This window comes from Homo sapiens, chromosome 2 (genome assembly GCF_000001405.40).
Source record: "Homo sapiens chromosome 2, GRCh38.p14 Primary Assembly".
NCBI lineage: Eukaryota > Metazoa > Chordata > Mammalia > Primates > Hominidae > Homo > Homo sapiens.
In genome coordinates, this window is record NC_000002.12 from 20,724,343 (window position 1) to 20,748,865 (window position 24,523).

At 37.0% G+C, this 24,523-nt stretch overlaps 1 protein-coding gene across 26 annotated transcripts in view; it reads right to left on the reverse strand.

Annotated features, from left to right (window-relative positions):
- Positions 1-24,523, reverse strand: part of LDAH (lipid droplet associated hydrolase) — a 140,613-nt gene that overhangs the window by 41,854 nt on the left and 74,236 nt on the right. For 22 of the 26 annotated variants that reach the window (XR_007079565.1, XR_007079563.1, XR_001738874.2 and 19 more), the window contains one exon: positions 15,629-15,863. The exons of the other annotated variants lie outside the window; for them this stretch is intronic. Coding sequence is in view for 6 of the 22 variants with exons in the window: in NM_001282722.2 (NP_001269651.1) it covers positions 15,629-15,863 (235 nt within the window). In the remaining 16 variants the exon portion in view is untranslated. The remainder of the gene's footprint in view (positions 1-15,628; positions 15,864-24,523) is intronic. 26 annotated transcript variants of the gene reach the window in all.

The following is a 24,523-nucleotide window of genomic DNA, read 5'->3' on the forward strand; positions in this document are numbered from 1 at the left end:
TCTTCTATCCCACTGTAAGTAACTTAAGGGCAGGAACTATATTTCATTCATTATTCTCTCCAGTGCTTATCTGAACAGTTAGCTCACAGCAGGTATCAGTAAGGAAGGGTTGTTAAGTGAAATAAATGGGAAGAGACTGACAGAGAAGGTTACTCAGCTAGTGCTTTGGAAAGCGGGGTGGGGAGGAAGTGGTCCAAGAGCTGACATCATGATGGAGGCCAGAACTAGAGGCTGAAGCACACTGACACTGGTAAGCCAAGCTGGCAGGTACTGGTATAAAAGTGAGATGAATAACTGAAGGCCAGAGTACAAGTCTAACAGCCCCTGTTGGGACTAGTCAGAAACTAGGCCACATACACACTAGTTATAAGAGCCAGAGACAATGTAGAGGCAATTTAAACCACAACTAATCATAAAATGGAAGGTGATGCATAAATAGTTTTCTAAAGTAGAACTGCAAGGTGGCAAGCCAAGTTGTGCTGCTGTTTTGGTGGTACGTAGCCTAGTACCACTAGTATGATTCATATTAGAATGCCCCAGTTTGTTTGGCTTTGCCATTATTGAGGAGAGGGACTTGTTGGTACTGAAGCAAGGGGAATTACAGGAGATGGGCATGGTTTCATTATGACAGGTGAATTTGGGAGGTAGGAAATCAACCATTGTGGGTGTATATACCGCAATATATATGTGAGTTTTACTCTTGGTCTATGGTGACTGAGATACTACTTCTAGTCACTTTGATCTTATTTAAAAGGTCTGACAGATTCTACATGTCCAAAATATACCACCACGTTTACAAGGAAAAATCACTTTCTTAAAGTACTCATGAAAAGGTTTGACAGGTTAGGAAAAGGCTTTGGTAGATTCAGCACCATGATGGGGGGTGGCTGAGGAGAATAATCATTAGTAAGCCCATTAATACCGATGAAATGCCAAACATTTTAAAACTCCCTTTAAAATAAAAAATACAATAATCTTGGGAGCTGAGATGAGCTCTACTGTGGATGGGTACTTATTTAGACAAGATTTGAAGAAGACCTGTCACAATTAAGAAATAAACGGTAGACCTCACTGTGAGCTTATCTTGCCAAGGGTTACAACGCCTGAAGGCATTCTGCAGGAACATGGCAACGATGGATTTTAGTTCTGGTGGACTGACTGTCTTACCTCAGTGTTTGGTAGGTGGGCTATTCTGAGATTAAGTCCATGGATGTTGAATCTCAAGACCATCTTGCAGTGTGGATGTAGTAGACGCAATGTAACTACCTAAAAGCCAACAAAAATTTTCATTTCCCTTGATTGACTCTACTGAGTCATGGGGAAATCAAAACATATGGCTTTTCTCTATTCCTCAGAGTAAGGGATATTTTGGCTACTAATCTAAAAGTTCCTAGGGAGGACATTCTCTTTTTAAATAAGCCAAAGCCTAATCAGGAGTAGGCCTTTTGCCTTTCTCCCCTTTCCCTTTCTTTCTGGCTGAATGTTAGACATGAGGTCTAGAGTTGCAGGAGCCATGACGTGACCATGAGATGATGACCACAAGGATAAAGGTTTATGTGATGTGCAAAGGACAACAGAGTAGAAACATACGACCCATGTCCCAGATGGCACTGTTGAGATGTTATTTACCTCTGGACTGCCTATGCCTGGATTTCTTGGCACATGAGAAAAATAGATCCCTATCTGTTTAGGCCACTGTAATTTGGTTTTCTGTTATCTATAGTCAAACTCAATCCCAGATGATAAAAGTGAATAGAAATAGGGCCTTTGAATATTCTGGGTGTTTTTGGTCACAGCACAAGGGCTGATGTGCTTAACTGCCTATCAGGCTCTGGTACTTGAGTGGGGGAGAAAGTGGCATCTGCACATATCCAGGGCTTGCCTGAGAGGAGGCAGGGTAGGAGCTGACTGAAAAAGAGCCTTTCACAGGAAAGCTCCTCCTAGCACATATTCTGACTATTCCTGAGGCTGGCAAGATGTGCTGAGTGTAGGGAAGTTAGGAAGGTTCAAGTCAAGCAGGGCTGTGTGGGAACAAAATTTAGGGTTGAGGACGAGCTGCAAGACTAGAAGATTCTGGAGACATGAGCAGCCCCACATGCCAACACAGCTGTAGGCAGAGTAAGGCTGGGTACTCAGAAAGGCTATACCAGCAGGGTTTGTCAAAAGGTTAAGTAGGACCAGATAGTCTTAGAAACCCAGATGAAACCTTCTTCCAAGGGAAAATTCTTCAGCGGTTATTTATTTATTTCCAGGTTGTTTTCCACCTTTCCAATGGTGCCAAGTTGCAACAAAGTGAAAACTAGACCTAAAAAAATAATTCTCCCATTCTAAACTTTCTGCATAATTTGGAGAAATGTTTCGTAGTCAACATAGTTTATTATGTATTTCTCTATAAGCCAGGACTGTGGTCATTACGATAATCAATTTAGTCTGCAAACAGATAATCTTACCTAAGCGACACTGAGTTCACCAAAGTGAAAAACAACTGGAGGTGTTGTATGATTTTAAAAAATAATGCAACTTTTTAGACTGGCGTTAATTTTGAAATATAAAAATTTCTTTAGAAAAAATAAGATATTCATTGCGCTATTAACTTCTAAACCAGAGATTATATCCTAGTACCACACTAATCACCTCTTGTCCTAAATCCTAACACTGACCGAAAAACAAAAACAAAAACAAACAAAAAAACCTTTTCCTTCATTCCTGAATTTTAGGTTATACTTGCATGAATCATTAAAAGCTGCAGCTGGGGCCGGGCATGACGGCTCACACCTGTAATCTCAGCACTGTGGGAGGCCAAGGTCGAGGACTGCTTGAGGCCTGGAGTTTGAGACTAGCTTGGCCAACATAGCAAGACCCTGTCTCTAATATAAATAAATAAATAAAAGCCACAGTTGGGTTTTATAAACATATTTTCATAAGCTGCTCAGATAAATGAGAGAATAGGTAAGGTAACATGAGAGTCTGGTTTCGTCTTACTCAAAAATTATTCTGGGATTGAGTTAAAAATATTCTAGAAGAAATTTATGATTCTTTAGTGATGCAAATGCTTATGTTGTCATCTCATTTAATAGTTCATTTTATATCTTAAAAAGCTAATTCCATATTAAGGGAAGAAAAAATTATGAAAATTTATTTTACAAGAATATATTCAACAAAGTAATGTAATCTACCAGAAATTCCCTATGTCTCTGTGCTATGTTTTTCTAGTTAGGTAACTGAAAGGAAATAAAATATCAATTTGGCCTAACTAACGAAAAGACCCTAGAATATTTTTTAAAGTTAATTATTTTGACTTGCTATACTGCTGAACTAAGACGTATTTTCTTTTAGCTTTGATCAGAAAATCAACTTAGCTGTCTCAGTGAAAAGCCTATTTTTCATGAAGTGGAAGAACATCTAAAGAAAATACAGAGTAGCAAACATTCCAGAATTAAAACTGAAGAAAAAATCCATATATGTTCTTTAAAAATAACATTTAAAATAACCTAGTTAACAAAATGACATTGATGAACACTGTGGTAAAGTTTATAATGTACACTAACTGATGTAGGGCTACTCTTCTCTGAATGCTGGATAGGAAATGACATTTCACTCACTCATACTAGAGAAGAACGCTAATGCCCCAGAACTCAAGCCTACAGGAAAGGATGTGCCATCTTTGCCAAAAGGGCAGCAGGATTTGAAATATTTGAATATTTTGGTTCCTAGAATTTTTCAGAGCTTACAACAACAACAACAAAAATGTGTGTATAAACTAAAGGATACAGAAAACCAGTTTCTATCTAGATAGGGCAGGATTTATTATCCACTGCTTGGACTAGCAAACTTCCTCCATTTGTTTCCGTAAGATTTCTACTGAAGCACAGACATTACATAATCTGCAAACACTGCAAAGCCTCCTAAAAGGCATGCTGGCAGGTTAAAAGGTCGTTGTCTGGATGATAGTCAAGCCACAGAGAAACAGGTCTGTGGGGGCCAGGGGGAAATATCCAGCTGGACCAGATTCCCAGCTGGGAATGATCTCTGACCTGATCTTCTTTTCCCTTGATAACCCCTCTCTTTGTGTAACCATGAAAATTATGCCGATGCAAGTAGCTGGTATGAACATTAGTTATGTCCACTATTCATGGAGTATAAACTCTAGCAGAGCCCACTGATCATCTCCCAAAGTCTTCTGTTGAGTGTTGCTCTCTCAGTTGGGACTTTCTCTTTGTGGGAAGCAAGGTACTAGGAATCACCATAGTGATGGTAAGGGCAAGCCTGGGCGAAGGCAGCTTCTGTGAGGGTTATTGCAAGAGGAGGCAGGGGTGGCACTGGGGATCTAGAGGGAAGAGGCTGGCTACTAGGAAGTGAACTATGAACCCAAGCAGGGAATGAACCAATAACCCAAAGAAGAAAGAAGACAGGTAACTAACTACTGCCTCATTTTCCTTTACCCAAGGTTACACACACTGGGTAGGTTATGGGGAAAAAAAAAAATCAGAGACCACTGAAGTAGTAGTTATTTGGCTATCAGAAGGCCAGATTAGAGCCAAGGGATTAAAAGATCAGAAAAGGAAAGGATGTAAGAAATAGGAGGACTGTGCTCCAAAAATTTGTTTGCTAGTTTGTTATTTAGAACAGAGATGAAGACATGTAGCTGAATGTTCAGTCTGATTTACAAAATGTATTTCATATATCAGGGTTGTGTGAGAAAGGAAGCCCAGGGTTCTTCAAGCAACAATGTAGTATAAAACTCTGGTTGCCTTGGATTGGGGAGGGAAATATGTCTTATGCCTAAACTGTCTTGCTCCCTGCTGCCTAAACTTCAGTCTCCTGGAAGATGCAGTAGGAGGTCAATTATTGCAATTAAAAGGAAGAGTCCTTTCTTTCAAGTGCAGCTTTTGGAGCCTACTTCTCCTGAAGTGTATATAACTCTGATGCAGAAAAAGTGGAAAATACCTTTACATAATTTCCTGTTTTAATTAAAAACATTAAGCACTTGATTATATGTTATATGTGACATATTATGTATTTAGTAAATATACCGTTAAGAATAATTTGTCATAGCTAGACTTTTCATATATAAATTTAAAAAATGTATAAAATTTATATCCCATGTCCTGATTTGAGTTTAGAAAATATTTCTAAAGAGGCATAAGTACAGCTGCATATCTAATGGTGTCCTCAGCCCTGGGACTCTGGGTCCTCAACCTTCTCAATGTCTCAAGGACAAGGAGCTCCTAATTCAGGCCGTCAGGATGAGGGGAACACCTATCCCAGGGAGGAAAGTGGTATCCCTAGCTGGAGAATGCTTTTTGTTTTTAATTCAACTTTTATTTTAAGATAGTTGTAGATTTACATGCAGGTGTAACAAATAATATAGAGAAATCCATGTACCTTTTACCCAGTTTCTCCCATGGTAATATCTTGCAAAACCACAGTATAATGTTACAGCCAGGATATGTATGTATGTATTTTTTAAAGAGACAGGGTCTTCCTCTGTTGCCCAGGCCGAAGTGCAGTGGTGCAATCACAGCTCGCTGTAACCTTGAACTCCTAGGCTCAAGCGATCCTCCTGCCTCAACCTCCCAAGTAGCCAGGACTACAGGTGTGTGCCACCATGCCTAGCTAAATTTTCATCTTTAATTTTTAACCCCTGGCAACCACTAATCTGTTCTTCATTTCTATAATGTTATCACTTCAAGAATGCTATATAAATGGAATCACGCAGTATGTAAACCTTAAGGGTTGCTTTTTTTCACTGAGCATAATTCTCTGGAGATGGACACAGGTTGCTGTGTGTATTAAAAGTCTGTTCCTTTTTATTATCAAGTAGAATTCCATGGTATGGCTTTACCACAGTTTGTTTAATAATTTACCCATTGAAAATACCTCTGGGTTGTTTCCAGTTTTTGGCTATTATGAATAAAACTACAATAAACATTCATATACAGGTTTTTCTCTGAACACCAGTTTTCACATATCAGGGATGAATGCCTAGGAGTGTTAACTGCTGGGTCATAGGGTAGCTGCGTGTTTAGGTTTTTAACTGTCAAACTGCTTTCCAGAGTGGGTGCACCATTTTACATTATCAGCAGCAATGTATGAGTGATCCAGTTTCTCTGCATCCTTACCAGCATTTATGGTTGCTGATTTTTTTTATTTTAGCCATTCTGATAGGTGTGTAATGATATCTCACTGTGATCACACCCAGCTAGTCTTTGCCTAGTCCTAGATCCTGATCCTGAATATTTTATTCTTTTTTTCTAAAAGGATTGTAGTTTTAAGATTTATATTAAAATTCATGGCTCATTTAGAGTTAACCTTTTTATAAGGTGTAAGGTTTACAGTTTAGGTTGAGGTTCATTTCCTTCCTTCCTTTCTTCTTCTCTCCTTCTCCTTCTCCTTCTTCTTTTTTTCTTTTGGCCTAAGAAGAGCCAAGTGCTCCAGCAACATTGTTGAAATGGCAATTCCTCTTTTATCAAATTGCTTTTGCCCTCTTGTCAAAAATCAGTTGGGCACACTTGTGTGGGTCTATTTCTAGGTTCTCTTCTCTGTTCCATTGATTTATGTATTAATCCCTTTATCAATATCACAAAGTTTTGATTACTGTAGCTACATAATAAATCTTGCAACCAGACAGACTCACTCCTTCCACTTTATTCTTCTTTTACAAAACTGTCTTAGTAATTCTTATTCCTTTGCCTTTCCAAATACATTTTAGAATAATCATGTCGATAGCTACAAAAAAATCTTGCTCGGATTTTGATAGCAACTATGTTTAATATGCATATCAATTTAGGAAGAATTGACATCTGATATGGTTTGGATTTGTGTCCTCACCCAAATCTCATGTCCTCAATGTAATCCCCAATGTTGGAGGTGGGACCTGGTGAGAGGTAACTGAATCATGGGGATGGTTTCTCATGACTTAACACCATCCCCCTTGGTGCTGTTATAGAAATAATGATGGAGTTATCTCAAGATCTGGTTGTTTAAAGTGTGTGGCACCTCTCCCACTTGTCTTTCTCAGTCCCGCTCCTCCCATGTTAGACGCCTGCTCCCACTTTGCCTTCTGCCATAAGTAAAAGCTACTTGAGGCGTCCGCAGAAGTGGATGCCTCTTCCTGTACAGCCTATGGAACTGTGAGCCAATTAAACCTCTTTTCTTTATAAATTACCCAGTGTGAGAGTGCATTAATACATGTTTACTATGTTGAGTCTTCCAATCCATGAACACAGTATGTCTCTCCATTTACTTAGGTCTTCTTTCATTTCTTTATTAATAGTCATCATTTTCAGCATATAATTATGTATATGTTTTTCTAAATTTATGCCTAACAATTTAATTTTTCCGACTGGCTAAAAATGTACATTATATTTTAAATTTTGGTTTCTATTGCTAGTGTATGCAAATAATATTGACTTTTGTGCTTATCCTGTATCCTGTGACATTGTTGAACTTGTATTAATTCTCAAAGTTTGTTTTTGGTAGATTCCTTGGGATTGTCATTTTTTTCTTTTAGTTTTTTTTTTTTTAATCATTTGATATATTTTTATTCCCTGGCAGAGCCGCAGAACCATCCTTGGGATTTTCTCTACAGACAATCATGCCATCTACAAACGAGATTAATTTCTTCTCTTCTGATCTGTATATCTTTTATTTCCTTGCCTTACCTTACTGGACTGACTAGAACGTCCAGCACTATGTTGAATAAGAGTGCTGAGAGCAGACATCTTTGTCTTGTTTCTAGTCTTAGAAGAAAAGCATTCAAAATATTTTTTTTTCCCTGCATCGGTTGATAGAATCATGTGGTTTATCTTCTTTAGCCTGTTAATATGTTAGATTATATTAATGGATTTTTGAATATCATACTAGCCTTGCATCCCTGGAATAAATCACATTTGGTAATAGAATAGTATATAATTCTTTTTATATATTGCTGAATTCTGTTTGCTAATATTTTATTAGAGATGTTTGTCTCTATACTCATAGGGGATACTGGCCTGTAGTTTCTTCTTTTTTTGTATTATTTTTCTCTGGTTTTGATATTAGATAATACTAGCTTCAAAAAGTGAATTGGGATGTGTTCCCTCCTATTTTCTATTTAAAAAATAGGTAGAATTGTGTTAGTATTTCTTTAAACATTAGGTATAGTTCTTCAGTGAAATCATCTGAGCCTCTAAATGTCTTTTTTTGGAAGTTTTAAAATTACAAATTGAGTTTCCTTCAAAGTTATAAGGCTCTTCAAATGGTCTATTTCATCTTGGATGAATTGTGGTAGTGTGTCCACATTTGAAGAATTGGTTTATTTCATTCCAGTTGTCAAATTTATATGTGTAGAGTTGTTCACAGTAGCCTTTATTATCCTTTTGATGGGTGCAGGCTCTATGGTGATATTTTCTATTTCATTTCTGATATTGGTAATTTGTGTCTTCAGCTGTTTTTTCTTTGTCAGTCTTGCTAGGGGTTTGTCAATTTTATTACTCTTTCAAAGTAGCCACTTTCTTCTTCCATTGATTTTCTCTATTGTTTTTGTTTTCAATTTTTTTTGTAGAGACAGGGTCTCACTATGTCGCCTAGGCTGGTCTCAAACTCCTGGCCTTAAGCAAACCTTCTGCCTCAGCCTTCCAAAGTGCTGGCATTCAAGATGTGAGCCACTGCTCCTAACCCTAATTTCTATTCTTGTTATTTCTTTCCTTTTCCTCCTTTTGGGTTTATTTTGCTCTTCTTTTTCTAGGTTCTTCAGGTTGAAGCTTAGGTTACTAGGACTTTTCTTCTTTTCTAATGTAATCATTTCTGACACCAGCATACATTTTTGTCTCATCACTGTTTTAGCTGTGTCCCACAAATTTTAATATGCTGTATTTTCATTTTGATTCAGTTTTATTATTAATTATTAATAATTTTATTTTTTTTTGAGATGCTTTCACTCTGTCACCCAGGCTGGAGTTCAGTGGCATGATCATGGCTTACCGCAGCCTTGGCCTCCTGGGCTCAAGTGATCCTTCCATCTTAGCCTGCCCAAAGAAGCTGAGACTACAGGCTATACCTCCATGCCTGGCTATTTTTTTTTTTTTTTTTTTTGAGACAGGATCTTACTTCGTCTCCCAGGCTGGAGTGCAGTGTCACGATCTCGGCTCACTGCAGCCTTGACTTCCCAGGCTCAAGGGATCCTCCTGCCTCAGTCCCCCAACTAGCTAGGACCTGTTACAGGTGTGCGACACCATGCCCAGCTAATTTTTGTATTTTTAGTAGAGATGGGGTTTCATCATGTTGCCCAGGCTGGTCTTGAACTCCTGGACTCAAGTGATCTGCCTACCTTAGCCTCTCAAAGTGCTGGGATTACATGCATGAGCCACAGTGCCTGGCCAATTTTTAAATTTTTTATAGAGACAGGGCCTCACTGTGTTGCCCTGGCTGGTCTAGAACTCCTGGGCTCAAGCGATCCTTCCATCTCAGACTCCCAAAGTGCTAGGATTACAGTTGTGAGCTATAGTTTTATTAATTACATGTAGTATTATTTGAATTTCTTTGTAATTTCCATTTTTGACTCATGAGTTGTTTAGAAGTGTGCGGTTTACTTTCCAAGTATTTAAAGATCTAACTTTTGTTATTCTGTTGCTGATTTCTAGTTTGATTCCACTGTGGTCACTGAACATACTCTGTATGGTTTCAATGATATCAACATGTTGATATCAATTCTGTTTTGGGTGAAGTGTTCTACAAATGTCTATTAGGTAATTTTCTTTGCACTGAAATCTACTTTATCTGATATTAATAAAGCTATTCCTGGTTTCCTTTGCTTATAAATGTTTGCATAATGTATCTTTTCTCATCCTTTTGCTTTCAACCTACTTATATTGTTATATTTAAACTAAGACTTGAGGACAGCATACAATTGAGTCATGTTTTCTAATCTACCCTGCCAATTTCTTTTAATTGTATATTTAGATTTACATTCAATATAATCATGGATGATCATTTTATTATTTGTTTTCTGTTTGTTCTCTGTCATGTCTCTGAGTTCTTTTTCTGGTCTTCCAATCAATGTGTTTCTAAATATAGAATTCCATCTTCATCTATCCATGGTGATTTTGAGTATCTCTTTTGAATAGCATTTGAAATGGCTGTTCTAGGTACTACATTACATATATACATGACTTATTACTATGTACATATGGTTACATCTTACAGTTCAAGTAAAGTGTAGAAACCTTACTTGCCATTATGTCCCTGTACCCTCCCCCATTTATAAAATCGTTCCCTAAATATTTCCTCTGTGTATGTTTAGAACCATAAGAGACAGTGCTATAATTTTTGCTTTAACTGTTAAACATAATTTAGAAATCTCAAGAGAAGAAGAAAGTTGCATTTGTCCACATTTTAACTTGTTCACTGTTCTTTCTTTTTGACATTCCCAGATTCCTTCTTTTATCATTTCCTCTCTGTTGAGAGAACTTCCTGCAGTTATTCTTTTAGGATAGATCTAATGTTGACAAGTTCTTTTAGTTTTTCAACATTTGAGAATGTTAAATTTCCCCTTCTTTCCTGAAAGACACTTTTGCTAGATACAGAATTTTGGATTAATAGTTATTTTCATTTTGCATTTTGTCATTTTCCTTTGGGTCTCCATGGATTCTGATGAAAAACTAGCTGTCCTTCAAACAGACTTTCTTCCATGAATAATGTACCGCTTTGCTCTTCTGGCTGCTTTCAAGACATTTTCTTTGTTTTAGTTTTCAAAAGCTTGGTTATGGTGTTTTAGTATAGATTTCTTTGGGTTTATTCTGTTTTAAATTCACTCAGCTTCTTGAATCTGTAAATTCATATCTTTTGCAAAATTTGGGAGTTTTTGACCATTATTTCTTTGAACACTTTTCCAGACCTACTCTCTATTTCTAGGACTAGTGTTATCACAAATGTTAGATCTTTCGTTGTAGTCCAACAGGTCCCTGAGGTTCTGTTCCTTTTTTTCCCCTTTTTAGTCTATTTTCTCTCTATTGGATAATTTCTATTAATCTAATCTCATATTCACTGATTCTTTCCTCTTTGTCTCCTCATTTTATTGTTGGTTCCATCCATTGAGATTTTAAATTTGTTCTAAAATTTCCACTCAGTTTTTTTTTAATCTTCTCTTTCCTAAGATTTTCTATCTTCTCATTAGTTTCAAACATGTTTATTAATTGATCATTAAATAATTTTTATAGTGGCTGCTTTAAAGTTATTGTCAGATAATTCTAATATCTCTGTCATTTTGGTGTTGGCATTGATTTTTTTTTTCCAGTCAAGTTGAGATTTTGTTAGACAAGTGATTTGCAACTAAAACATGGACAGTTTGAGTATTATGTTATGAGATTCTGGATCTTACTTAAACTTTATGTTTTAGATGTTTTTTTCACTATGGCCACGTAGGGTAGAGTCTAAGTTACCCATTTGACTTCTGTTGACACCCAAGGGATGAAGGGGCTCCTCATAGCTGCTGGGTAGGGGAAGGAATTCTGACTCTGTACTAGGCTTCCACTGTTACCATCTTGGCTGGGACAAGTGGTGAGTCCCTTGCTACTTCTCCCCACATGACCTTTACTGATAATATGGGGGTAGTGGTGATGGTGGCCCCATTACTGCAGGGCAGTGATGAAAGTCTTCGCTCTCTACTCAGCCTCTTCTGGGACAGTACCGTAGAGCAGGGAAAGAGAGGGGGTGCTTCATTACTGCTGGGGAGAGGGTAAAGTCCACTCAATCTTTGCAGGCATGACTGGAAATGGCTGGAGTAGAGTAGAGCAGTTACTGTCTAAATGTTTCTTTTAGAAAGTATTAAAGACCAGAGGCCAGGTGCGGTGGCTCACGCCTGTAATCCCAGCATTTTGGGAGGCCAAGGCAGGTGGATCACCTGAGGTTAGGAGGTTGAGACCAGCCTGGCCAATATGGTGAAACCCCATCTCTACTAAAAATACAAAAATTAGCTGGGAGTCGTGGCAGGCACCTGTAGTTCCAACTACTTGGGAGACTGAGGCAGGAGAATTGCTTGAACCCAGGAGGCGGAGGTTGCAGTGAGCTGAGATTGAGCCACTGCACCCTAGCCTGGGTGGCAGAGTGAGACTCTGTCTCAAAAAATATATAATAATAATAATAAAGAAAGAAAGTATTGAAAACCAGAATACACTGCTGCAAAATGACTGTAGGGGACCAAAATATACCATCCCTAAAGATGTGTCTTGGGCAAAAGGATTATTTTAAACTGAGTATTTTGAGAAACTGAAGACACAGGAGAAGCTCTAAAAATGGAGAAGTTCCCTTTTTAAAGGGAAATTGACATCTATAAAGGACATTTCCATTTGTATGGGTGTTTTCCTCTCTGTACCATGAAGGATGATTCTAAATCACCATGGACTCTATTATCAACGCAAAGGGCACTAACTTAAATCTGCACAACAAACTTGTCTTGTGTGCAGTGCTTTTCTTGGTCACCTCCCATTACTGACCTCTTTTCTTTGTTTTAGTTCAAGATGGTATTTAAGTCTGAACTCAGAAGCCACCTCTTTGAGATTTACTCATTTCTCTGGGTATCTCCCATGTACATATGAAATATAAATGTTAATAAATTTATACATTTTTCTTGTTAATCTGTCTTTTGTAACAAAGATCTGCCCCAAGTAAGAACTATACAAAGTAGGGAGAAGACTATTTTTTCCTACTCTATAAAACATTGCTCCTTTCCTGGTCTTTGGGCTAGAGAGAGTAGGCTTTTGTTAGGACCTTTAAAAGTCTCTACTCTTTGGTGTTTCTGGGTTGCTGGCTCCAAATCTAGGATATATGTGGTAAAAAGAAAACCCAGAGAACTCACCACTGTGTTTGTTCCTTGGGTCCCAAAGTCCCTACATAGCCTGCTTTCTATTCTCTACCTTGTATAGTCTTCTTGATGTTGTTTTATAGATAATATCCATGGTTTTTAGTACTTAGCAGGAGAAATAGTGGAAAGTCCATTTACTCTATCTTCCTGGAAGCAGAAGTCCCAGGAGGAAAATGGAATCCATAACTGAAGAATGCTTTATAAAATACATTCTACAAGGCAAAAAGAAAATGACAAAAAGCAACAAGGGGCTGGGAGAGACAAACAAACCTGTAAAGAGACGTAAAATGATCTTATCAAAGTATATGTGGAGAGTTTTACATATATTTGCCAGAATTTCAAATGTTGATTCCATTGGGTCTCAAGTAATTTCCAAAGGTAGACTGGCCCTAACTCTTGATTTAGTCAACAACTGAAAACCAACGAGGGGAAGTAACTAAACAAAAGCCACAGAGTGACTCTAGGGCAGAACCAAAATGAGAGTTGAGGGTTTGTGACTTCCTGTCAGTACTATTTTCACCAGTAGGCATCTGTTCCATAATATTTTCAGAGGCGTGTGAACCAGAGAGACTTCATTTTGAGTGTGGGCTAGGAAAATGAGGCTGAAACTTGCTGGACTGTATTCTCAGAAAGTAAGGCATTCCGAGCCTCTAGATGTTTAAAGTTAAGGGAACAAATTAATAATGTTTACTAAAACAGACTCAGACTTGGGAGTGTCCAGATATCCTGATATCTGGAGAACAAAGGCATTCCTAATTTTGCTTTTAAGATAAAAATATCGATTCTTGGGCCGGACATGGTGGCGCATGCCTGTAATCCCAGAACTTTGGGAGGCTGAGGCGGGCGGATCACGAGGTCAGGAGTTTGAGACCAGCCTGGCCTACATGGTGAAACTCTGTCTCTAAAAAAAATAAAAAAATTAGCTGGTCACAGTGGTGCTTGCCTGTAGTCCTAGCTACTCAGGAGGCTGAGGCAGGAGAATCACTTGAACCTGGGAAGCGGAGGTTGCAGTGAGCCGAGATCGCGCCACTGCACTCCAGCCTGGGCAACAGAGTGAGATTCCATCTCAAAATAATAATAATAATAATAATAATAATAATAATAATATATAGATTCTTGCAAAATACAGTAATTAAGAAAATTAATCCTTTATCACAAACCCTTGTAGCAGAACACATCTCCCTATATATATAAGCATTGTACCTAGGGTGGGTGCATCCCTCCTCTTATTTTCAGGAATATCCTACTTTGTCTATGGAGGAGCTGTTCTTTCACCACTTTACTTACTTAATAAACTTGCTTTTGCTTTGCACTGCAGACTCACCCTGAATTCTTTCTTGCGCGAGATCCAAGAACCCTCTCTTAGGGTCTGGATCGGGACCCCTTTCCTTAATAATATGGTGGAGAGATGAGGAGTTGGACCAAATGGTCTTTAAGGGATATTTCCAACATCAACCTCTGGCAATTTCTATGACTGTCCTTAGCCCTTGCTTTCCCTCTTCCTATCTCATCTTTTTAAACCACTATGCTAAGGGTATATTAAAGAATGGAAATTGGAGGGAAAATGGAAGGGGGAAAAAATCTATCAATAGGACAAATATACTGAACCTTGTATTTTTGAGGACTGCTTCTTGTTACATATTTAGAAAAACACCTCCCATATGAACTGCAGCTGCACAATTGAACAGGCAGGGCTGTTAACTTGTTTCTAGTTCATTAGGCATGTGACCTTATGGCATTCTTAATACAGCTGAGCATGGAAAACTTTATTCAGGAGTCCTGCTGTTATCATTAACAAGGGCAACAGCACCAGCTATGGTGAAAGGAAATGCAATACAGTGGCAGAATGCCTGGGTTTCAACACTACATACTAGTTGTATAACTTTGGGCAATCATGTAACCTCTTTGTACCTCAGTTGCTTCATCTAAAATGGGGACAATAGCAATACTAAACCTTATTAGTTCTTTTGAGGAACACAGGTAAAAGCTTAGAAAGTGCCATCAGCTACTGCTGCAACTAATTGTTACATCGTTCATTGGAGGTCGGTTATAAATAAAATACTAGATAGAAGCTTTGGATATTTTATCACATTTAACACTAGAATAACCTTTTGAAGTACGGAGTATTGTTATCCCCACATTATAGATTAAGAAACTAGGATTACTTTATTATGAAAGTCATTTATAAATGTAGTATAAAATAGTATGATCTAAAAAGATAGACTACATTTTAAAACAACTTTTGAAGCCAAAAAGTAAAGTCACAAAAACATTTCCTAGCATATTCATAAAAATCAGCAAAGCACCCAGTATTAAAATACATTACCATGACAAATATTTATTACTTCTATGATTTAAATTCTCCCAAAACATTTAAAGGAGGAAAATAAAAACAACCTGTTAACTCTACAAGAATATTAGGCTTTGTGTCCTTGTGCTGTTTTTCGTAAAGTACTCCCACTAAGCTAACAGGCACACCAAGGATTCCTGTAGGGACTCCATATATACTATGTACTATATGCGGAAGAAGTGTTTCTCACTGTGCTGCAGCTAGAGTGAAGAATCAGAAACATAAGGTAAAATTAAAGCTTGATGAGGCTTTTCTAATTTCTTATGAAAAAATTCATTCTATTTCTAATTTTATTTATTTCTAGTTTTAAACTTTTGGAAGAGGAAAAAAAAACTAGTAAATAATTGCTTGCTTGATATTTGTCCACTGTCAGAGAGTATTGTGTAAACATTTTGTGATACAAGAATAAACATACACATTTTAAAATCTGTGCTTACCAAGGCAGAATGGTTCTAATATATTCAATGGTGAAAATTCATTCTCTAGGTTCATTACTTGAAGGCCCCTTCTGATTAGCAAGGACTTGATTGTCTCAGGACACGGTTTCAATAATAAGTAGCCAGTAACATAGAGAACATATCGAAACCAGCACAAAAGTGGAGTGGCAATTCTGCCATTGGGTGACTCAGACATTCGTTCAATTGTTGGAAAGAGCAGAAAGGCACGAATTACCTGCAATAAAGAAGCATACTTTGATGAGAGGTTTTCTTAAAGGATAGGTCCATTACTTATTGTCTCTTCTATATAGTAATGACAAATGAATGGGTTTTAGAATGACTAGAGATCTCTTCAGAGTGAGAAGAACCACCACTCACCACCCTCTCAGCCTATAACTAGGCAAAATCACAGCTCACTGCAGCCTCATCCTGAGTGCAAGTGATCCTCCCACCTCGGCCTCCCAAGTAACTGGGACTACAGGTGTGCACCACCATGCCTGGCTCATTTTTTATATTTTTGTAGAGAGAGGGTCTCCCTGTGTTGCCCAGGCTGGTCTTGATCTCCTGGGATCAAATGATTCTCCTGCCTTGGCCTCCCAAAGTGCTGGGATTACACACGTGACCCACCATGTCCAGGCCCCCTCATTTCTTTTTAATGCTAAAAAATATCCTATCATCTGAATGTACCGTAGTGTATTTATTCATTCACCTACTGAAGGAAATACTGGTTGCTTGTAAGTTTTGGCAATTATGAATAAAGCTGCTATAAATGCCCATGTGCACTAAGTTTTCAACTTCTTTGGGTAGATACCTACGAGCACAATTGCTGGATCACATGGTAAGAATATGTTTAGCTTTGTATGAAATCACCAAACTGTCTTCCAAGGTGGTTGTACTATTTTGATTCCCACCAGTAATGAATGAGAGGTGCTCCATATCCTGCTGTTTCTATATCCTTTTCAGCATTTATTGTCAGTGTTCTGAATTTTGGCCATTCTAACAGGTGTGGCGTTATCTCACTGTCATTTTAATTTACATTTCTTTGATGCCATATGATGTGGAGCATCTTCTCATATGTTTATTTGTCATCTGTATATCTTCTTTGGTGAGGTATCTGTTAAGGTTTTTGGCCCATTTTAAAATAGGTTTTATATTTTTCTTATTTTGAGTTTTCTGAGTTCCTTGTATATTTTGGATTAGTCTTTTATCAGATGTGTCTTTTCAAAGATTTTCTCTCAGTCTATGACTTATCTTTTTATTCTCTTGACCCTGCTTTCTGTAGAAGTTTTTAATTTTAATGAAGTTCAGCTTATCTGTTATTTCTTTCAGGGACTGTACCTTTGGTTTGTATCTAAAAAGTCATCATCATATCCAAGGTCATCTAGGTTTTCTCCTATGTTATCTTCTAGTCATTTTATAGTTGTGTTTCATATTTAGAGCTATAATCCATTTTGAGTTGGTTTTTGTGGTAAGTATAAGGTCTGTGTCTAGATTCATTTTCTTGCACATGGACGTTCAGTTGTTCCAGCATCATTTGTTATAAAGGCTGTTTTTGCTATACTCACTGCACTGTGCAATATATCCCAAAGGAAAAAACGTTATTACTTCTGTCTATTTGAGGCTTTGTACCCTCTAACATTCCTCTCCTCATTCTCCCACTGCCCACCACCCCAGACTCTAGTAACCACCATTCTACTCCCCACTTTATAAGTTCTGTTGTTTCAGATTCCACATATAAGTGAGGACATGCAGTATTTGTCTTCCTGTGTCTGGTTTATTTCACTTACCATAATATTCTCCAGGCCCATCTACATTGTTGCAAATGACAAAACTTCTTTTTTAAGACTGAGCAGTATTCCATTGAGTGCATACACATTTTCTTTATCCATTCATCTGCTGATGGACACTTAGGTTGATTCTGTTAACTTTGCTATTGTGAAGGGTGTTTCAATGGACATGGAGTACATACATCTCTGATATATTAATTTTATTTTATGGCACGATCCTGGCTCATTGCAGCATCCTATAAATTTTGATAAGTTGTGTTTTCATTTTCATTTAGTTCAAAATTATTTCTCAATTTATCTTGGAATTTCTTTTCTAATCCATGTTTAATCTCCATGTATTTTGGGACTTTCCAGTTATCTTTCCTTTATTGGTTTCTAGTAAAATTCCACTGTGGTCTGAGAGCAGGCATTATATAATTTCTATTCTAAATTTGTTAAGGTGTGCTTTATGGACCATAATGTGGTCTATCTTGGTGAATGTTCCACGTGATCTTGAGAAGAATGTGTATTCTGCTCTTGTTGGATGAAGTAGTCTATAGACGTCAATTATATCAAGTTGATTGATGGTGTTGTTGAATTCAACTAGGTCTTTACCCATTTACTGCCTGCTGGATCTGTCCATTTCTGATAAAGGGGTGTTGAAATCTCCAACTATGATAGTGGATGCATATATTTATGCTTGTAGTTCTATCAGTTTTTGCCTCACATAGTTTGATGCTTTGCTGCTAGGCACATGCATGTAAAGGACTGTTATGTCTTCTTGGAGGACTGACCTCTTTATCATTACGTAATTACCTTTTTTATTCTGGATAACTTTCTTTGCTTTGAAAAGTCGGCCTTGTCTGAAATATAGCTACTCCTGTTTTCTTTTGATTAGTGTTAGCTTGGTATATTTTTCTCCATCCATTTACTTTTCATTTACATGTGTCTTTATATTTAAAGTGGGGTTCTTGTAAACAACATACAGTTGAGTCTTGTTTTTTGATCCACTCTAACAATCTTTTAATTAGTGCTTTTCTTTTTCTTTTCTTTTTCCTTTTTTTTTTTTTTTTTTGAGACAGGGTCTCACTCTGTCACAGCAGCCTTGACCTCCCAGGCTCAAGGAGATCCTCCCACTTCAGCCTTCTGAGTAGCTGGGGCTACAGGCACACACCACCACGCCTGGCTAATTTTTCAAATTTTTTGTAGAGATGGTCTGTCTCCCTATGTTGTGCAGGCTGGTCTCAAACTCCTGGGCCCAAGTGATCTTCCTGCCTCAGCCTGCCAAAGTGCTGGGATTACAGGTGTGAGCCACCACACCAGGCCTATTTGGTGCACTTAGACCACTGATGTTCAAAGTGATTACTGGTAGTTAAATTAATATAGACCACATTTGTCATTATTTTCTATTTTCATCTTCCACATATTTTCTGCCTTTTGTGGTTTTAATTGAGCATTTTATGTGATTCCATTTTCTCTCCTTTCTTAGCATGTCAGTTATACTTAAAAAAAAAAAATTCTTCTAGTGGTTGCCCTAGATTTTGCAATATCCATTTACAACTAGTCCAAGTCCACTTTTTTTTTTTTTTTTATTATACTTTAAGTTTTAGGGTACATGTGCACATTGTGCAGGTTAGTTACATATGTATACATGTGCCATGCTGGTGCGCTGCACCCCCAAGTCCACTTTTAAATAACACTATACCACTTTATAAGTAGTGTATCATACAAAAACAAAATAATCCTAAGTCTTCCCTCCTGCTCCTTGTGTTGTTGTCATTCATTTCACTTATATGTAAGCATACATATAACATATAAACATACAAAATCGAAAGCACTGTTGCTATTATTATTTTGAACAAACTTATCAGTTAGATCAATTAAGAATAAGAAAAATGAACATTTTAGTCTTTGTTTATTCCCTCTCTGATGCTCTTCTTTTCTTTATGGAGATCTGAGTTTCAAACCCCTATTATTTTCTTTCTGAGTTTCCTGGATCTGAAGTTTGATGTCTGACATTAATTTAAGAAATGTCTCTGTCATTATTGTTTGAAATATTTCTTGTTTCTTTCTCTCGTTCTTTTCCATCTAGTATTCCCCTTATGCATATGTTTCACCTTTTGTAGTTGTCCTGCAGTCCTTATTCTTTTTTTTTCTTTTCCCAGTCTTTTTCTTTGCTTTCCAATTTTGGAGGTTTATGTTGAGACATTCTCAGGCTCAGAGACTCTTTCTTCAGCCATGTTCAATCTACTGATAAGCCCATCAAAGCCATTTTTATTTTACGGTGTTTTTACTCTCTAGCATTTCTCTTTGCTTTTTCCTTAGGATTTCCATCTCTCTTCTTACATTGTCTACCTATTCTTGAATGATGCCTTCTTTATCTGTTATAGCCATTAGTATATTAATCATAGTGGATTTAAATTCCTCATCTGATAATTCCAGAATCCCTATCTGTCTGGGTCTGAAGCTTGCTCTATTCTCCTCAGATTTTTTTTTTTTTTTTTTTGCCTTTTGGTATGCCTGGTAATTTTTTCTTGGTAGCTGGACATGATGTACCAGGTAAAAGGAACTTTTATAAATCAGCTTTTAGCAATGTAGCAGTTAGGTGGGGGAAAGGGGAGGGGAGACATTCTATCATCCTATGATTAAGTCTCAGTCTTTTAGTAAGCATATGCCTCTGGTGTACAAACTTCTAAGTGTTTCCTCAGTATTCTTCTCCCCTCTTTGGTAGGACAGGATGGCTAGAGTTGTCTGGAGTTTAGTATTTCCCTTCTCTGATGCAGAAGGTTAGAGCTGACAAGAGTTAGGTATTTCCCTTCCCTTGGGTCAGGCTCTAATAATACCCCAGCAGGTTAGGATTTAGCTAACTAATTTCTCCTGGGGGCAGACCTTGTTAAGAAGAGCACAGTGCTCTGGCATATTTCAAAATGGTTCATTTCACCTTCCCCCTGCCAGAAGCACATAGGGATTTTTCTGCAATATTTACTTGGAGAATCTAATTGAGCTCATGTAGGTAAGTCTAACAAAATTGTGGTGTTTCCCCATGAGTGGGTCCTCCTGGAGTTTAAAACTTTCAGAGTTGTTCATACTGAACCTCCTATAATTCATCAATTACAGCTCAGGTTTTTCTACCATGGCACTGCTTCCTGTGGGGGTTTCTGTTTGTGACTGCATGCTCTAGTAACTTGTGGCTCTCGGTATTTGCCAGTCTGTCTCTCTAGTCTTTTGGGGACAGTGGTTTTCCCTGTGTCCTCCCCTATCCTGGGTCCGATAAGAATTGATTTCTCAGTTTGCTTAGCTTTTTACTTGTTAGGGTTGGAGTGGCAACTTCTAAGCTCCCTACATGTGGAACTGGAAACCAGAAGTCCTAATAATATTTCTGTATATGTCTTTTGGTGCATGTATGCATGTACTTCTGTTGGCTGTATCACTTCAAAGTAGAAACACTGGGTCATATAGTAGGCATATATTCATCTTTAGTAGATAATTACAAAGAGTTTTCCAAAGTAGTTCTACTAATGCTCTTGCAACAGTGTACAAGGCACACAAAGATTTCTATTTCTCCATATCCTTATCAACACTTGTTACATTTTGTTTTTCTAATAGACATCTTAACAGGTGTTAGGTGATATATCATTGTGGTTTTGATTTGCATTTCTCTGATAATTAGTGATGTTGAGCACCTTTTCATATACCTGTTGGTCATTTGCATTTTTTTTGAAGAAATGTCTATTCAAGTCCTTTGCCCATTTTTAAATTTCTAAGACAGTAGAATAGATTTCAAGTGTTCTTATCACAACAAAAGATAAGCATGTAAGGTACTGCATAAGTTACTTAGCTTGATTTAGTCATTCCACAATATATGCTTATTTCCAAACATCATATTGTACCAATCTATATACTTTCTATTTGTCAAATAAAAATATATATTAAAAAATAAGATATAATTGAGGCTAATAACTAATCAAGTAAATGACTGAGCATATGTATGTTAATTAGCTGTAATACATGATTTATAATAAATGATCATAACAATTTAAGCAATAAATAATAATTGAATCAAATATGTATGATGGTAGTAAGTCACAAGTCCTATGACGGGGCAGATAAAATAATAAAAGAGGACTAGAAATTGCTAGGGGTGGTGGGATAGTTTTAAATAGGGTGTTCAGGAAAGGCTTTGATGAAAGGTGACATTTGTGCAAAGGCAGTTAGGGGGTGAGCTAAGAGATGCTTGGAAAAATAAATTTTGTGGGGAGAGGGAAGAGCATGTGCAGAGGCCATAGAAAGCTAAAGTGGTGTGTTTGAGTAAGAGCCAGGTGAACAGTATTGCTGGAGCAGAGTACTTGAAGAAGAGAGCAGTTCAAGTGTTTACTAAAATGTCCTCAATGATTTAAAGAATATAAATGATTAATTCAGTTAATACCAAACTAGAAGAATGTACCACACAGATTCCAGACTGGTTATGTAACCCATAGTACATAAGGAACTTCAGATTGATCAAATCAGCTGGCAGAAACAGGAAACAATCCATTACTTTTATAAACGATCCTTTACTGTGACCCATGTTAAGCAAAACTGCATGTAAGGGAAACTCTAAAAATATATAAGCAACCACAGGGTTATATTTGATTGATCTATATCAATAACAAATTGAGAATTAAAATGCAGTCTGAAATAATGGGAATGGACCAAAACAATAAGGAAGTTCTAATATGTACATTGAATGCGTCACTGCCTTGTAAAAATATAAGAAGACCAAAGACCTTATCACAACTAATACTTAGTTGATGAGACTGGTTTTCCTCTCTTGCCTTTGGAGAACAACAATTATTACCTGCTGGGTGACACTTTTCCTAGATATTGTAATGATAATTTCAATGAAATTTGCAGTCCAAATTTGATAAATCACAGTAATAAAAATTTTTCATTCTTCATATTGGTAAAAAAAAAAATCACCTAAGTCAAGGAAGTATGCCTAATTTGATAACACAGCTGTGTGGTGAAGGTTTCCAAATCTGTGTACACGACCAAACATTTTCTTATGTTACTATCTCATTAAAAAAAGAACTCCCATGTTAGCCAATTCATTCTATCCTAAGAAAACATTTTCGCATATTTCACATTCTCTTCTGTTATCTACCAGAATGAACTTTTGATAATGAAGCACAACCGTGTTTTCTTGAACAGTACAGGAAGGTAAATATGCACACTGGGAATTTTTATACTGGATACATTTGCAGGGGTTAGAGGAAAGTATTTTGATGCTTATTTTTCTTGAATTTATTATTATTGTTGTAATCATTTTTTAGAAAAGGAGCTAAGAAACAATTTGAGGTATGGCCACAAGGTAAGAAGTATGGTGCTTAGGTGTGGATTGTGCACAACCTGTTTCATTAAATAGGCTTTAAAAAAACAGTAAATCTTCAAAATCCTTGAAAGACTTCACCTGTTTATATAGCTTATTACAGATGCATCCATTTTTCTGGGAGAGCAGCAATGGTGCCTATGTGTTATGACTAAGTGAAGCTGCGACAAATAGTACTTCAACATCTTCAAAAAAACATTATCACTGCCACCCTGCCTATTTGTTTATTAGTTTAACCCACCCAATGTATTTATGGCAGGGTGCTTCTCCACCGTACAAGCAGAAAACAAACAAAAAAATAGCACACAGTTTCTCTTTTTATGTGACTGCAATATTTGTAAGGCATGTCTTAGCCAACATGCAATGTCAACCAGACAGCCTTCAAAGATAAACTTGCTAGCTGTCAAAACATAGGTCTAGAAGTAATCCTAGTTTAGTTTATCTCCTCTTCCCATAAGGCCATGTGTTCTTCTCCTTAGGATCACACTGGAAACACAAGCTTAGTAAGCTTATTTACTAAGTATGCAGTTTATAAACTGCAAATGCCATTATATTTTAATCAAGAGTTTGCTTTTTGAGATTTTCTACTCTGTCTTAAAAACTTCATATGTCAGAAAGATAAGAATATGCCTCGCAGGGAAGTACTTGGATTAACAGTAGTAGTGATAGCTTACTATTTTCTAGGTACTACACTTATGCACTTTATATATATTGTTTCATTTAATACACATAAAAACCTTATGAAGTTCCCTCATTCCACTGAAGAGAAAACTGAGGTTCAGCCACAAAGTGACAGAGATATGAATTAAAGCAGGATGATTTCTGAATCCATGCCATTAACCTTTATATATACTATATATTTACGTACAAAATAAGTTATTTGTAATTGTTATTGTTTGGAGGCAATTTTCTTATGGTTGAACCAATTACTACTATTATTGTTAGATATGGGCTAATCTTTACAAGTGTCTCAAATCATTTAGCTCCAGAAATAATTAAATCCATATCCTAAGAAGTAAAGCATGAGATCTTTCAACTACTGATTACTGAAACAAAATTATGCCATTTTAGTATGTTTCAGTTAAGATGGTACTCAAGAAACTAACCACTTTTGCCATTTTCCATTCATGTGAATTATATTCAGACCTCTGGGGCAGAGATTTTTCTACACTTTAATTACCTGAATGTGAAAAAAAAAGCCATTTAATACTTTTAATCTTCATGTCACGGTTGTTAATAATAAGGAATGTTTGCATATTTGCAGAGGTCTTTACATAACTTATAACTGCACAAACACCTGAAACTTAGCTTCAATATCTTCCTATAGCCCATTCTTCTCAAGCTTTTATCATTTTATATTCTCTGCACTTATTTTATTTTGGATGCAAAATGCTGTTCTCCTCAGCTTGAAATCTTGTGGAAACCACTTCGTTTTGGGCTCTTCTGATTTAGAATCACTGACAGCTCATTCAGAAAACAATGATGCTCACAGGCTCACTGCAAATTATTCTTTACCTGCTGCTCTGCAGTACAACTATCTCTTAGGAAGCACCTGTTATTTTGAATTAAACAGTGTTCTCCAGGTAGCCTCAGAATTCAGTGAATAGTGAATAGCAAACCTTAAGGTCTATAGCTACAAAATTCTCACATGACTACTATGGCCTTTGGCAATAACAGGCCTTTCTCATGGTTCCTAGAGGTAAAGCTACACAGAATGTGATAGGATGGCTCTGCTGATCAAGAAACTGCTACTTGGCATAA